Raw genomic sequence first — 17255 nt, forward strand, 5'->3', positions numbered from 1 at the left:
AGTAAAACTTTCTCAAATAACTTCCTGCCTAAAGAGGTAAGATTGACAACCCTGACCCATTTTTATGAAAACAAAACATCCTCAAAGCACTTACACCATAGCTCCAAGCTTCAGGTTTCAACTGACTGCATAAGTGATTTGATACACTGAGAACCAGACAAGGTTGCCCCTGGTGGAGAAATCTGCCAATATTCTAGGCAGCAATAGAGGATCTAAGCAATCAAACCTCAGTTTCTGACACTTGGTTGATATCCATAGAGAATTTATTGGTCCATTAACACAGAAAATATCAACTTGATCGGAGCTGAAATATAGGTCCATCTCACCTTGACAGCCAGAACTCACCTCATGCCCACATAAACTGATATTGAAGAAATGGAAGTATTTTGTTCCTTTGGAGGTGAAGCTGGGGCCATTCATTAATGAGCCCACACTGCTGAGGTTGCTAAAGTCATAGTGCAAACTCTGATTTTCTTTTTCATGGTAGAAAAAGCAGTCACTATAGCAAACCGAATGGTCCTTTGATTAAAGATAAAGAAACAATATAGCAGGAAAGAAAATATTAGCTGCTACTAAAATGTGTTTGAAAAAAGTTCTAGGTATAAAAACTATTCCAGTAATTTAGTCTTAGCTATAATATACTTTACCATACTAATATAAAGAATTTCTAAACTCTAACTAGATTTTTCTAAACAAAGTTCAGAAAATTCAGAATCTTTTAAAGACAGAGTAAAGTTATCCTCAAGTTTGTTCCTTGTAGAAAGGTATTTTAAGAAATAGCCAAAATTCTGTTACGTAAATTTAAACAGACAGTAAAAGTGCTTTGTCCTTCACTCATAATATGGCATCAATCTTTGCCATTCAAAATTATAAGAAACACTAGCTGTTCCCAGATGACTGCTATAGCCAGCCTATAGATAGGTAGTTTATTTGCTGTACCTAAACAATACACAAGAAATCAGTTTTAATATTTTGGAAAAGCATTCTTATTTGGGAGCTTTTAATATTTTATGTCACCAGTAACTAGTACTTTCATAGCATACAGTAAGTGTTTAATAAACGCAAGAAGGGAGAAAACAGAAATGGTAAGTAGAAAGTCTTATTTCAGAATAAATAGCAACCTCATAGCTCCCAGAGAAACATTAAGGAGAACGCTTGAATTTCTCTATTAAAATGTGCTTTCATGGGGATACCTGAAATGCAGACCCACTTACCTGATTGTTTTTACTCCCAGGCCCGCATGGAATACAAGCCTCTTTGCCATAGACCTGATGTATGGACAGGTAGGTGTCAGGTGGACATTCCTTGCACTGGTTGGTTTCTTTCTCAATGTAGTGGCCTGGAGGGCAGGGGACACACGATGAACCCGACTGTTCAGAACCGAGGGCACAGGCACGGCATGAGGACGCCACCCCATCAACTGCATTAGTGGCTGTGATAGAATAAATCTTCACCATGTCATTGATGAACCGTCTATTCTAAAAAAAAGAGCATAAAGTAATGACTTCTGCCTTGGGGCTTAGTTGTACAACCAGATTATGTCTTCTGTTGACATCATCAAAATAACTAAATAGAGTGTTCCAGCCTAATAGTTTGTAATTGACAATAGATTAATATCACTGCTATTTGGTTCTTCTTTTAAAAAATCTTAAATCTTGATACTAGAAACTAATTTCTGCAATAATATAGTTCCAGGAGTTTTGCCACAATTACTGTGAGATCTGTCACAATTAGTATAAATTAGGATGCAATTATAGACCTCATATCTAGAAGAACTAGTATAGTTTAAGAGAGGAACAGTTTTTATCTCCCATCATCATTTATTCACATCTTAGCCTAAATCAAATGATACAATAGGAGGTTGAAAGTGCGGCAGGGTAGAAATGCCTTGGAATGGGGATGAGAAAATCTTGGAAGACTAGGACCTCTAGTCATACACAAACATTAACTGTGCTAAATCAATGCAATCACACCATTTCATTGAGTCTTCCTTTCCTTCTCCAGTCCTTTCCCTAATCAACATACAGAAAAGATGTGGACTAGAGAGCAAAAACCTGGGTCTTATTATGTTTTTCCTCCTTGTAACACTGAGTCACTTTAAGGTCTGGTTTTAATTAAGCAGTTGGCGTCACTCTATCGGTACAGAGCAGTGTTACTCCAGACTACTTAATGCTTTTTGTCTGGGACAAAGATAAATGGAAGGCAAGGAAAGATTCCACAGCATGTTCACGCCCCACAGGATGGTTATCTTAACCTTCATAAGGAATAACTGGAGTCAAGTACAATCTGGGGAATTTATTCCCCACTGAAAGCCTGAAGAGAAGAAGAGAAAATGCCATACATTGCCACCATAGCATTACGGCCACTTTTGAACAAGTGGTTTATCTTGTTCTCACCTTGGGAAGGTTACATCTATAGAGATCCACAAAATAAGTCCTGCTACTATTGAAACATATGGTACAATGGATATACTTAGGGGAGGAATAGGTCTATTCTGGCAGGGAAAATAAAAGAAAGGAAATGATTTTGTGTGTTAACTCAATGGTGGGTACATACACATTCTCCAGGCTGTAAAAGGAAATATTACTGTAACAAAAAAATAAAATGACACTAGTTAATGGCTCTTAAACATTAGATGACTCAGATGAAGATGAAGAAAGTTGCCCATCTTCACAAAGCCTCAGAAAGCTTTAAAAACAAGTTATTTTTAGAGAACTGCAAAATTAGATTTTCCTTCTCATAAGTTTCCAAAAACTGTATTTGTTCAGAGTGAAGAACAATTCAAAGACATGTTGTTATTTTATTCCATACATTCTTACTCTCAAAAAATAAAAAATTATCATTTTATACCACTGAATCTATAACCAGATTATTCATTCCATATTTTTTAAAAAGCAGTCCTTTCTTCCAAATTTGAGTTATCACTTTGTATGCATCTCCACAAGGGGGCATCATTAGTGTGTTTAAAATTTTAAAAAAAAGTGCTTGGAACTTACATCTTGACCCTGATTAGTTCTCTGGAATGCCCATGTAAATGTAAAAGTTGCATTCTTGAAGATGATATGGGTGTAAGCTTGTTTTTCTTTGGTTCCACCCCACGATTCTACCACATTTGTACTTTTTCTATTAATATCCTGAAATATAGTGGAAAAACTATATTCAAATAAAGCACAAACTCAACATTAATATACCTGTGTATATATTACAAATGTATTCATATTTAAAGTAAACCCATTACAGTTTATGACTATTTACAAACAGAGCATGTAATCCCAGAACTCTTAAAACTTGCCTTCAAGTCTGCACAGGCACCTCACTCAGTAATCACAATATATCAACCACATTGTTCATATAACTTGAAAGAGGTCTCAAATCATAATATGTTTAAGGGTTGGGGTTTTTTTTGTTTTTATTTTCTATTTTTGTTTCATGTGTGTGATCTGGCTTGGGATATATACTTAGAAGAGGAAACATAACTCCTCAAACTTCTTACAATAAACTTCTAAAGTTATCATTGAATGGAAAGCCTTCAAATTTTTTATCTTTTTCCTTCAGAGATTCTGATAGGGAGCTCTTACATAGGAATTCCAAGTTCCCCTGAATTATACTTGCAAGTTCCAGGGTGACTTTATCCAAGTGCATGTTAAGCAGAATGTTATTTAATGTTCATGAAATCCTCTCTTGCTTATACTTGACTTCCAAAAGGTTTAATTTATATTTTATTTATTATTTATTTAACTAAATTCAAGATAATATTAAAATCACACAAATTTGTGATATTCCAACTGATATGCTGTCATTAACATGACTGGAAAGCAAATATTAATAAGTTGACCAGATAATGTAACATACATCTAATTTATATAAAAAGAAAACCAAGCCTAAACTCTGAATTTTCTAATTTTCCTGGCAGAAATCCTGATAGATCACTTAGGAATTTGGATGGGCTTCCATTAGTTATCTGGGATGCCGGCAATAAGGTTTCATGAGCTCAAGACAAGTCTCTTTGTTTTTCATCCTTTGATAATACAGGAATCAAACATGTGATAAAGTAACCAAATATGCTCTAAAGAGACACATCCTGAGTTCACACCACAGATAGGAATAACAGAAAATGCTCATCATACATTATAGAAATCCTCATGTAACCAAACAATGAAATCATCATTCCCAAAAAGCAGTTCATAATATATTGATGGTGCTTCATTAAACATCATTATGGGTTATAATAATTGAAATTTAATGCATTAGTGCACATAATATCACCTTACATTTGTGAAGCACTACATGATATTCAAAGCATTTTATATATTATTTGGTTTGAGATCTCCAAAAGTCCTGTGAGAAGATCATCACACAAAGAGGAAAGAAAATGGCAGACTTTGCCAAAAGCTGAAAGCTCTAGGATTGATTCCTCAATACAAATATCATAAGATCCCTACTCTCAGGGATGCCTGGTCAAGTGGGAGAGACAAAAACATAAATAAGTTCACATAATTAAAGCAGGGATTTTTCAAAGGGTTTTAGAAGCACACTGGAGAGAGTGGCTAACTTGACTGAAAGGAGTAAGAGAGAGCTTCTGAGAAAAGGTGAAGTTTGAGCTGCTACTGAAGTATGATTGGAGTTCATCAGACAAAACAGCAAAAGGAAAAATGTCATTCTAGCTTAGAGTGTCAACACATAGGGAATGAAAAAGTACAGAGTGTTCCACTAATACCAACAAATTCAGGTGACTAAAGAAAGGTGAGTCATAAAAGCAGGTTTGGAAACAGAGGCTGGGGAAAGAAAGAGCCATAAAGACGCCATGTTACAGAATTTGAAGTGTATTCAGAGGCTGTTGGTTCTTAAACTCTAAAGTATTTCAGAACCACCCACAATGCTTGCTAAAATACAGATTGCTGTGACCACAGAGTTTCTTATTCAGTAAGACTAAGCTGAGACCCAGAAATGTGCATTTCTAACAATTTCCAAGGGGACCCAGGTGGTGCTGGTCCAGGGTCCACACTTTAAGAATCACTGCTATAGGCCATAAAAAGCACCAAGGGAAGGGATAGCTTTGTTGTTCAAGCCTCTACTGTTGAATTTTGGGGTGTCTTCTTTGTTTTGTTTTTGAGACAGGGCCTGTTGCCCAGACTGCAGTGTAGTGGCATGATCATGTAGCTAGGATTAAAGCTCCCAAGTAGCTCAAAGTAGCTAGGATTAAAGGCATGCGCCATTGTGGCCAGCTAATTTTTTTTTTTTTTTTTTTTTTTTTTTTTGGGTAGAGATGGGGTTTTGCCATGTTGCCCAGGCTGCTCTCAAACACCTGGGCTCAAACAATCCACCCACCTCAGCTTCCCAAAGTGCTGGGATTACAGAACTGAGCCATCACGCCAGCCTCTACTGTTCCTTTTATGTTTAAGGATAATTTTAGTTGGGCGCGGTGACTCACACCTGTAATCCCAGCACTTTGGGAGGCCAAAATGGGCAGATGACCTGAGGTCAGGAGTTCAAGAACAGCCTGGCCAACATGGTGAAACTTCATCTCTACTAAAAATACAAAAATTAGCTAGACGTATGGGGCATGCCTGTAAATCCAGCTACTCAGAAGACAGGCAGGAGAATCACTTGAACTCAGGAGGCAGAGGTTGCAGTGAGCCGAGATCGCACCACTGCACTCCAGCCTGGGCAACAGAGTGAGACTTTGTCTCCAAAAAGAAAAAATAATAATTTTGACAGCAGTATAGATGAAAGAGTAGAGATGAGAAGAACGTATAGGAGACTACTGAATAATCCTGTTAAGAGATAATATTAGTCTGCATTTCAGCAATGGCACTGAGTATGAGAAGAACAGACTAAAGAAATAAGGAGGCAGACTTGGGAGAATTGAAGACTTACGGGTTATTTGTGATATAGATGGCTGTGTTGAAGATTATTCATGATCTTTTACTGCCACAAAGTGGATACTTTTTTTCAGAAACAAAGTCTGCCTTCATTTAAGCTATCAGTAATCACAAATAAATGTTTAAGTCTCCTCACATTTTACATATCACGGAGAAAACTGTTAATAAACTGTTAACTGGCTACTAAAAGGTCATTGGGAAAAAAAAACACAAAAACAAAGCAGGTCTGTGAAGTAACTATTTAATTGTAATGTTAAACTCTTAGCCAACAAACTTCTAAATCTCACATAAGGTCTTAGCAAATTTCATGGTGATACTTTCCTCAAGCTAAGAGTAGAGATTTGTATGACATCTAGAAAAGAAATGGGCAAAATTATGACATGAGCATAGTACTCTTTTTCTAAATGCTCTCTTCTCAATGTTCTACATCTCCATTATTTTCTGCTCTTACTTATTAGTACAATGTTTTTTCTTTCCGGATAGTTCAAATAGCTGAATGGTTATCAGGTGAGAATTTTCATTCTGCTGGTGACGTTTTTATGAAGGAATTTTTTTTTTTACCAGATTAATATTCCCTGGCCTCTATCAGTCACCCAAGCTCCCTCACTTAGTCTTTCCCATGAGGAATAAACACTTTATTTGTGGACTTCATTGCACAATTCTTAATTATTTCTTCAGACATTTGTTAATGTTTGTGAAAGGTGCTAAGAATAGCAAAAAAAAAAAAAAAAAAAAAAAAGGAATTCTTATCCCAACTTGCCACAAATAAATTTACACTTGAAGGAGAATGCTAAGCTTAGAAATCTGCCTTTGAAAGCCGCCCGTCCACTTACCACCATGAAGTACAAAACACAGTCAGCTGAACAGAGGGTCTCAAAGACAAATGTTATTCTTCCTAGTTCAGAACCCGTGGCTCCAGTCATAGATGTTGGTGGTCTATTTGACAGATTAAAATGGCAATATTTATACTATGTTCTAAATACAATTTAGAATAAAATTAAGCCACTATTTTTATTAAACTAAAAGCCATGCTCTTCTCTTCCTCTAATCTACCACTTCCCTCACCCACAACTCCTTCCTCACTTAATCATACCTGTCCACACCCTTTGTAGACATTGAGTCCACATAACGATGGTAATATGCTTGAACCTCTTGCTGTAAATGATACCATCCATCCTAAAGGAAAAGATTCCTACTGGGTAATTTCAACACGGGGAACTAAAATGAAATGGGATTAAGAAATTTCTAACATACTATTTTACCAAGAGAACTGAGAAAAAATAGATAAATAAACCAAAAGATACTCCTGCAAACAACTTGGACTGACCTCTTCATTAAGCATCCAAGAATCAAAGTTATGGTAGCATTTGGACACACTATTGTTTAAATTTTTCAGCTTTATCTAAGTAATATATAACTAACATTTATAGTTTCTCAATCACTACTTCTACAGATATTCTTCAATATAATACATTACCCTGTGACAGCTTGTTATTTACTAAGTATTTTTGTAATATTAATATGTTCCATAAAGTAGCCCTACTTCTTTATTTCTGTGGGGAAACAGGTGTAAGGATTCTTACAGAAAAGAATTAGAATTGTTTTCCTTACTTAAATCCTGGGATATGCAAGTTTAAGATCAGGTAATCATTGTCAGAACCTCCAGCCCCACTCTGGATATGATCTCCAGCCACCTCCCAACCTAGAAGTAATAAAAGTCATTTTTATTAATAAAAATTCCATTAATGATCTCCAACAATCTGTTTAAATAAGGTAAAAATAAAAAGAAGCATTAGTGTTTCTGTTCAAAGTTAGAAATGCTACAAATGAATTCCCTATTTTTAATCACAGTCGCAAATTTCATCCCGAGGTAGATGTTCCAAGAGGAACCAAGCAATGCATTATTTTGAATAAAAGATACTTAATGGGATAACAACAGTTTTCTCAATGAAGCATGATTTGTATTTTAACTAAAACAGATGGTCTCTATCTACTCTAATATATTGAGATGAACAATCCTAGTCTTCAGGCAACCAATGTGCAATAGAAACTTCAAATTACTTAACAGAAAAGATTTGGGACCTGAGGTTCATTCTTACAGTTTGCTGTACTGTTGTTCCCTAATTTAACCCCTGTTCTGCATTCATTCACTTATTTATTCAACTAGCATTTACTGAGTGCCAAGAACTATGACATGCACTGGGATAGGAAGGTAAGACAAAGTCCCCCTCACTGAGGAGTCTGTAGAACATGAGAGACAGACACAAACAACTGTCAACAGTATAGAGCTGTGCACAGAGAACCATTATGAGGTCCGTCTTCTGCAAAGTAACAATCAATATAAACTGAAATGGCCACAGTAAAATGAGGAAGAGAGAGGCCTCTCCAACATAACATCAAGCAAGGTTATTAATTAATGGCAATACCTCAGCATTGGCATTTCCATCTCTAAAAGAAAATATCAGTATCTGCCACTGCAAGAGGTAAAAGACAGAAATTAAGGAAGAGCCTGGTTCAGTGCTAGACTGACTTGGCGATTTTTGAAATGTTATAATCAACAATTTATACAGAGATGATATGTTGACTATACATCAGTCAAGCTAGTCTTAAAAATAATATGTACTAATCTACATACTTATAAGACAGATGTCCATTGTTTGGCTATCTAATGTGGTTGAAAAGAGAGATAAGCAGGTATAGAATTCTAAGAGTTGAATAGCCATAAAGCAGTCTGACCCAGTGGGACAACAGGCCCTTGACTGCAGTATAAGCAATATGAGAGGCACTTAGGTTTAAAGAGACTGTAAACTTCCAGTAGGGATAAAAAGCAGAAGGATATTCCCACATGGAGCAATTCTATACCAAGAAAGGGAGGACTTTATGAAATGTTTCTCTCAGAACAACTCCTAGTGTTCAGAAAGGCATGAGGAGGGATAGAATAGCAGGGAAGGGCAAAGAAAAGAAGGCAGTACAAGGATGGTAAAGAGAGCTAAGTTTGGAGGATTAATACCCTCGCAGGAGGAAACAAACATTTCCCATGTTTGAATATCACTTGTTGAGAGATCCCCAATGTCCTCCACTTTTTCCTCTGTCCTGAGAAACAGAGTGTCTTGACCCCTTTGAGACCTGGCCAGTGGCATGTCCTCTCCATTACCTGCAGGCTTGACCCCAAGCCAGGGCCTTGAACATTCCCAGGCACTGATAGAGGTGTTTAGGTTGTTGTCTAAAATACTGAAAGAAACTAGCCCCAGCCTTGAGCCAAACTCCTCAAACCCTCATCTCAACTCTACAACCCGACTCCCCTCATTCCAGACACACCTCAGTAGAACATTCCTTGTCTTACTGTCCATTGTGAGGTATGTTACAGGCCTCTCTGTAGGTAAATTCCCCTAATAAATGCTTTGGACTGATCACTGTGGTGTTCAGTGCTTCTTTTGTTGAAATCCCAACTGACCCTGTCTCAGGACAGTTTAGGGAAGTTCCTTTTGGGAGCACCCCTGCCAGCCACTTTTGGAGCAACTCCAGCCACAGGTTTGGCTGAACAGAACACTTGTTGTTATGCATTGACTATGTCCCTAAGAAAAGATATGTTGAAATCTCCACCACCAATACCCATAAATGGGACCTTATTTGGAAATAAAGACTCTATAGATATAATCAAATTAAGATGAGGTTATAAGGATGGGCCTTAATCCAAAATGACTGGTGTCCTTATGAGGGGAGGAAAATACGGTCACAGATGTAGACACACAGGGAGAGGATCATTTGAAGACACAGAGACACACAGACCCAGAGGGAGGACGGCCCTTTGAAGATGGAGGCAGAGACTAGAGTTAGGCTGTCACAAGTCAAGGAATTCCTGGGGCTACCAGAAGCTAGAAAAGGCAAGAAGGGATATTCCCCTAAAGGCTTCAGAGAGAACATAGCCCTGCCCACACCTTGATTTCAGACTTCTGGCCTCTAGAACTCTGAGAGAATACTTTTCTGTTGTTTGAAGCCACCCAGTTTGTGGCACTCTGTTGCAGGAGCCCTAAGAAATTAAACACTCATGATACCCTTAGCAGGAAAAACACCAAAGAAAAGAAATAAAAGAATCTACTGCTCTGAACCCCCTGACTCAGAACTCCAGACTGCCAACGTGAGAGCAGAGCTGTATGTGGAAAGACACACGCAGGGTAATGTACTGGACAAGAAATGCAGGAGGACAATGGCGTCAAAGGGAAACCAGATGGCTAGTACCAAATCAATATAAGTGCCTTAAGGGATAGACCACTGCTATCCAATTGAGAAATATGTGAGCCACACCTGTGAGTTTAAATGTTCTAAGGACCACATTTTATAATGTAAAAAGAAAGAAGTGAAATTTTAATATATTTTATTTAACCCAATATACACAGAATATCATAATTTTGACATGTCATCAATATAAAAATTAAGATTTTTTTTTCCTATCAACCAGGGCATATCAAAGTCAGTAGAAAACCTAGGAAATACTGCCTTTTACTGTGCCCTGGTTGTTATTTTTATCCTTTCTCAAGCATAAAAACTATATGGAACAGTGTCAACCAGAATGTTGATTTCAAAAACATTTACTTCTAACCTAACACCTAACAGCTATTATAATTTTTATACATTCCCTTCTAGTCTTTGTCCATAGGCACAGTTTAATAATGGTATACATAATTTTGTATTTTCTTTTTTCCATAAGAGTGAATCTCATATTTTCCATGTTTCTGTGTATATTTTATATTTTAAGATTATTTTGTATTTAAAAATCATACTTATATTTATCATAAAAATTTTAAATTTTAAAGACAAATTTAAAAGTTGAAACCTAAAATTACTTATAACTTCATTACCTAGAAAAAAAACACCATTAACATGCTGTGATGTTTCTTTTCACTTTCTTTCAACGCATACATGTTTTTACATCACTGAGCTTTTATTATAGATAATTTTGTATCATGCTTTTATAAATTAACATTATTTCATAAGCACTTTTATAAATACTTCATAAACATGTTAATGACTGAAATAATATTTTATTATTCAGCTAAATATAATTTGCATAATTCACCAAATCGCTCCCACTACAGGACTTATCTACTGTTGATTACACATCCATTTTAACCATTTGGTTTGTTTTTACCTTTAAGTAACATAATATAAACTATAATAAACATATTTTTGTAAAGCTTTTCTATATATTCAATATTTTTCTAAAAAGGAATACCAATAAAAGAGTTATTGAGTCAAATGAATATATTTTTAAATCAATATTGTGTTACTATTCTGATTTTGAAAGCAATGAGTGTCTATAAGGAATATTAAATACAGTAAACCAAATTTAAAAATAAAGTAATTCATATTTCACATAAACCTCCCATCTCCAAGGAATAGCCTTTTAACATTCTTTTTAGTATTTGTCTAGTGTATACTTTTAAAATATATAACTTAGATTTTACTATATAATCTATTTCCTGTTTTTCTTTCATTTAGCATGGTCTTCTGATTTTTCTGATCATCATTCTATGAAAAATATTACCCCTTTGAGGTAAATAGCAATTAGTTAATGGGCGCAAAAATACAGTTAAATACAAGAAATAAGATCTAGTGTTCAATATACAGTAGGGTGTAGTTAGTAGTTTTTTGTGTTGCTCAAAATAGCTAGAAGAATTAGAATGTCCCCAACATTAAAAAGATTGTTTGAGATGATAATATCCCATTACCCTTATTTGATCATTCCACATTTTGGAATATATCAAAATATCACACGTACCCCCAAAATATATAAAACTATTATGTATCATTAAAAAACCACTAAAAATCCTCTGCACATCTAATTTTAATAACTTAACAATGTTACATAGCTATATCATAATTTTATTTAACCATACCCCATTATTGAAAATTTAGTTTTCTCCTATTTTTCACTCTTATAAATAACTCTAAAATTAATATTTTTTGTGCATAATTTTTCTTTACATCACACTGTTTCCTTGGTATAATCCTCATAAGTGGTATTTTTGGCTTGGAGAATAGGAACTTTCTAAATTTCTGAAACTTTGCCAAATTGTTTTCTGTACAACTTGCACATAATGATTGCATAATATTTCATTCCATTAGGGTAATATAACTTTTGTAAACATTATCCTATTTTTGGATATTTCAATTATTTCAATTTTTGTTGTTATAGATAAAGCCCAATGAACATCTTCATGAATAAAAACTACTTGTCTCCAGCTTTGAATTCCTCTTAGGCAAATTTTAGCACATGAAGATTTGCTTCTACATACCTGTTCTGTAACTGTGTGAAAATCAGACCAAGACTACATGAATCTCAAAGCACTCCAAATCATACAGTCAAGTTGGGCAAAGCACACTTGCTTTAACTCCATGCCTTAGTGGGTGACTATCCCAGGGGACAGGCTGCCCCTGTGCCTCTCCATTTCACCCTCGTTCTTGTGAGTGCTGCTCCTCACAAGGTTGGCTACTGGACCAGCCAGTCACAAAATATACATCACCTTTTATCTTTGTAGTTTTTACATTACTGTTTACCATTTCAATGCCACACACTAATACTGCAGAGATTTATACTTTTCATTTAATCATTGATCATTACTGAAAACTAAGCAAAATTTAAAAATAGACTCTCAGTAAATGAGTAAGCAAGTGGGTAAATCAAGTATTTCCAGAGTTTAAGCTATGAATAAGTCCTCTATAAGATCCAATTAAAGTTTCAGGTAATCTTTACTAGTAAGTGAATACACACACACACACACACACACACACACACACAAATGTATTAGTCCTTTTATAGAGTTATTCTATACCCTTGCCTTCCCAATCTTATTTTCCCAATAGGACTTAATTTTCTCAATTTAAAATTCAATTATAGGACATTTTAGGAAAAAAAAAACCTTCAGGGTCAAGTAACAGCTATTATATCTTATTCTTCTTCTCTCTGAGGATTTTTTAAGTGGGATTGTTGGTCAATAATGAAGACTAGCTCACATTTAATATATATACTGAGGCTTTGTCTTTTCCTCTTTCACTCATCTGTTTAACATTATTCAAAAACCTATTATTTGTCAATCTCTGTGCTCATGTATACACCTCACTTCCTATGACTCAAGCTTTTTTTTTTGAATAGATATTGATTTAAAACGTATGTGTTAAAAAGCACACACATACGTGTTTACAATAATTAAACATAATATAGAGAAAAGTGAGCAGATAAAAAATGCCAGTGAGGTTATAAGTAAAGGATGCATTTTAGTGTAAAGGTCTGGTATATACAATACCTACCCGTAGCATAAAGTTTAAAAATACATATATTCATTCAACCATCACATACTGCAGAACAAGTAAATTCCAAGCCCTCTAGGCACTTAAAAGGTAAGAGCAAATACAAATCAACAACTGTTCTGTAGAACTCTGCCACATTTTCAAATTTTCAATAGGTAGAATTCATATATACTTTGTAAATACAATCATAGACTTGACAGGCAAGGGGAATTTGAAGTTAGTTAACCCCTCACCAGGGCACAGTGCTGAGCCAGACTAATCAAGACAGAAATCCCATCATGCTACTCTTTAAAATGGTAAAGAACATAGATTTCATCCCCCTCCTTGGTAAATCTATTCTGGCATTTATACCCATAAATGATGATTCTCAGCATCTACTTCAATACTGCCTAAAAAAAATGCAAAATTAATAGTTTGTTCTTCTATGAATGTCACCTGGCTGTGACACCACATTTACTATTTTTATGGTACAACCAGAAGATGGGCAAGCAGCCAAATGATAAGATTGAAGTTCCTCATACCCATACTTGGTATGTTTTAGAGAGCTAAGTTCAAGAATGAATGATGTCTCTATTGCTGAAATACATCAAGTAGGCTGATTTTGAACTTACCATTCATTCCATCGCACTTTGAATTCCCAACATTGAAGCAGGAAGTTTTCATGTTGCCAGGAAGGACATTCCACCATTTATATTCAAAGCCAAGTGCAGGCTCCGTTCCTGCTGGACATGGTCTACATTCTACAGGAGACAAGTAGGGTCAACAATTAAAATTAAACTGCATATGGACAACTTCTACTTTCTCTGTTCCAAACACACTACATTACAATTAGCAGGGAGAGAAGTGGAAAAAAAAGATATTGGACTACCAGTTCCCTCAGGATGTACTAACTTTTTCAAAAGAAATCTGAAAAGAACAAAATTCTAGATATATTATACATACATACATATACTTGACTAAAATGAAAAAGGAAAAGGACAGAAACAAAATCTTTAAAAATAATTTTTTCCTTCACATCTGGGAGTAGCTGCTAATACTTAATTACCCTCCATAAAAAGAGTAACTATGAAACAAGTTCAAGTTCTCCTGCATGTGACCTTAGAATCAGTTCTTCCACCTTATGAATAAAGAAAGATTTCACTCTTCCTATTGGTTATTCAACTTAACAGAATATTAATACCATTTATGAACTGATTAATTCAAATTCAAAATATTGACTATGTTGAGAATGGTTGGGTGTTGAGGGGCTGGGAAAGTGCTGGGTTTATAAATAAGCCTGATTTAAATTGACATCTGCAAAATTGAAAGAGAAGGGTCTTTTCCAACCATTTAGAAATGTAGCCACTTCGCATCATCACATCAGTAAGAAAAGGAGTAGGGAAAGAAAATATTTCACAAACATTTATACCTGCTGCAAAAGTACTACAGAAGGCATGTTTAAATGTCCTTCTCAATGATGATGAGCCAGATATTATCCACCATCCTACAGACAAGAAAATTGAGCTTCAAAAAGTTTAAACAACTTGGATAAATCACACTATTGGTAGCATGGGGGACATAGATTCAAATCCAAGTCAGTTTGCCTTCAGAGTCCTTTTTATGCTATCTCTCAAAGGCTCTGGATAGTAAGTATACAACATGGCTATATTCAAGCCATCTATCTGCAACTAAAATATTACAGTTGACTGCAATTTTTGTCTACTAAAACTAAAAGAAATTCTGTAACCACTTTCCATAAAAACAATTTAGAAAATGGTCACAGTAGTCCAACAAGATCATTTTGCTAAAGGCCCAGTTATTGGACCAATTGACATCCTACCTTTGGTTCCATCTGAAAATGTTCCAGGAGGACAGGGATGGCAAGAAGATGATCCATTGTTATAAAATCCAGGGTTGCAAGGCGGACAATCCTTCTTCTCTCCAGAAGGGGGCAATCTAATAGCATCTGTGAGATCCTCCCGGCAGATTTTGGGCTCTATCCACTTGTACATTATCTGTGTCTACAAAAAAAAAAAAAAAAAAAAAGCAACCAAGTCATATAACATGCTTATAACAAAAATCTTAAACTGGCAGTATAGGAAAAGTACAAATGGTGACAGAATAGAAGGGCCAGCTGACAGAATCTAAAACATCAGTGACAAAATGAGAGAAAAGAGAGAACATTGGTGGGGAAATGACTGTTACTTCCAAATGCTTTTACCCTAAGCTATAGGTGGCCTTCCCTCGTACACAGCATGTTCCTCATCATGAAATAACTCTTTAAAATGTAGGTAACCTGTTTATCACCCTTACTCTTCTATCCATTCATTTACTTTATTCCATAGCTGACATAAGTTTCTACGCAGCAACTTGCTTTTTCATTTTGAGACTTCCACTAACCTCTTCCTTTCCTCCAACAGCACATTTCATTATGCTTTGCACATAGCAATCACAAAAAGGTTATTTTTCAGAAAGAATATATCAAGATTCACATTTCAATCCTGCTAGTTCATAATATTGGTAGTGGTTCTCGGAGTCTTTTTCAATAACCTGATGTTAGACTACAAGAGCTGTAGCTAAAATGTTTACCCCAGAGGCTTCTAGGTCCTGATCCATGGGCTCTGAACATCATGATTAAGACAACCTCTGCCTTCAAGGAGAGCAGTCTTTTAAACTCTGCCCTTTTATTCTCTCACACTCATTCATTCACCCCCACACAAAGCAAAATATAAGAAAACAGCTGTAACTCAGTCAAACCCCAAAAGCCATTATTATCAAATTTTTATTCTCATTTTTAAACCAGAGATACCAAATGGGTTAGCCATTCGAAAACAAAATTGGTATGTTCAGTGGAGGAAAACAGAAAAGGAATTCTAAATGCAAACATAAAAATAAATCAACTATTTAATAACTAAATGCAGCATTTTTAAAAGAGACTAAAAGTTCCTTTTCTTAAACATATAATCTGCTAAAAGTATTTTTTCTCCTTTAAAACAACTTCTGCAATAGGAAGTCTGCTATTAAAGCTGGGGAATCAAAATTAAAGGCGATTGTCCATAGCTATTTCCAGTTAGTAGAAAATCATGTATAATAACTCCTTTAGGCTACCCAATTTTATTCTCAAGTATTCTTATGGAAGAGTAGATTAACTTATCTGAAGAAGGAGGCTTAAGAAAATGATTTAAAGGTAAATGTCTCAAAATAGTTATAAATAACATTTTTTCTTTTTACAACTCTCTTTTTCCATATTCATTTTTATGAGTTGCATCATGATACACTTTAACCAGCCACTTCACACACCTGCCTTTCTTACCATCTGTAAAATAATGGCTGCTCCTGCTGGGGATTCCTAAATAATTGGAAAAATAAAGGGGCTCTCAACTCCCCTTAAGAAAAGCAATATAAAATTCAGAGAATCTAAGCAAATGAAACATCATCATATTGGAGAGATTACTTTCTTAAAATTCTGGTTTAACAAGCATAGAAAACAAATTTCAAATCCTACTTAATTCCCTAATTTGCTGATTTATTTTGACATTAATACAAATGGATTGCGTTATGTGTGAGCTACTGCACTAGTGAAAGTAGTTGGTTCCCAGGTGGGAGTGGCGGGCGGTGCTGACACCCTGTACTATGTAATCTTCTTAATCACTTTGAGAGGTAGGTATTGCTATCCTCAAGTTTATAAATGAGGAAACACTCCAGATTAGAGCTCTTAATTTGCCCAAAAGTCAAACACAACTAGTAAATGGTAAAGTAACACCAGTCAACAAGAGTCAGTTTGGTAAGGGTAAAAATAATAAAATATGCAAATATATTGTGAGAAGTCAGCTAACCACATGACTTTCAATACATGCAAACTTCTTAAAAATTAAAAAATATACACCACTTTTAAATACTTAAAAATGTAGAAATCAAATTTCAAATGCTCTATAGTAAAAGTTTTATTTACAAAGCCTCTTGTTTCACATGGCAGATTGATTCTGTGCCTCTCTTTCTAATGGAGACAGATGCTTTCAAGTCTGGCTGACTAGGTAAAGATAATAATTAATATTAATAATACTTAGAACCAGAGGGCTTCCAGTG

At 35.3% G+C, this 17255-nt stretch overlaps 1 protein-coding gene across 11 annotated transcripts in view; it reads right to left on the bottom strand.

Moving 5' to 3' along the window:
• ELAPOR2 (endosome-lysosome associated apoptosis and autophagy regulator family member 2) overlaps window positions 1–17255 on the bottom strand; it is a 182749-nt gene that overhangs the window by 34821 nt on the left and 130673 nt on the right. For 10 of the 11 annotated variants that reach the window (XM_011515918.3, XM_011515921.2, XM_017011843.2 and 7 more), the window contains 7 exons: window positions 15010–15190; window positions 13802–13930; window positions 7494–7584; window positions 6716–6818; window positions 2997–3134; window positions 1215–1478; window positions 346–519 (listed from right to left, as the gene is read on the bottom strand). In XM_011515918.3, the coding sequence (XP_011514220.1) occupies window positions 346–519; window positions 1215–1478; window positions 2997–3134; window positions 6716–6818; window positions 7494–7584; window positions 13802–13930; window positions 15010–15190 (1080 nt within the window). Of the gene's footprint in view, window positions 1–345; window positions 520–1214; window positions 1479–2996; window positions 3135–6715; window positions 6819–7493; window positions 7585–9036; window positions 10366–13801; window positions 13931–15009; window positions 15191–17255 lie in introns of those variants that run through there. The other variant, XM_024446686.2, reaches the window with a different exon arrangement.

The sequence above is a fragment of the Homo sapiens genome, chromosome 7 (genome assembly GCF_000001405.40).
Source record: "Homo sapiens chromosome 7, GRCh38.p14 Primary Assembly".
In the NCBI taxonomy this organism is placed as follows: Eukaryota; Metazoa; Chordata; class Mammalia; order Primates; family Hominidae; genus Homo; species Homo sapiens.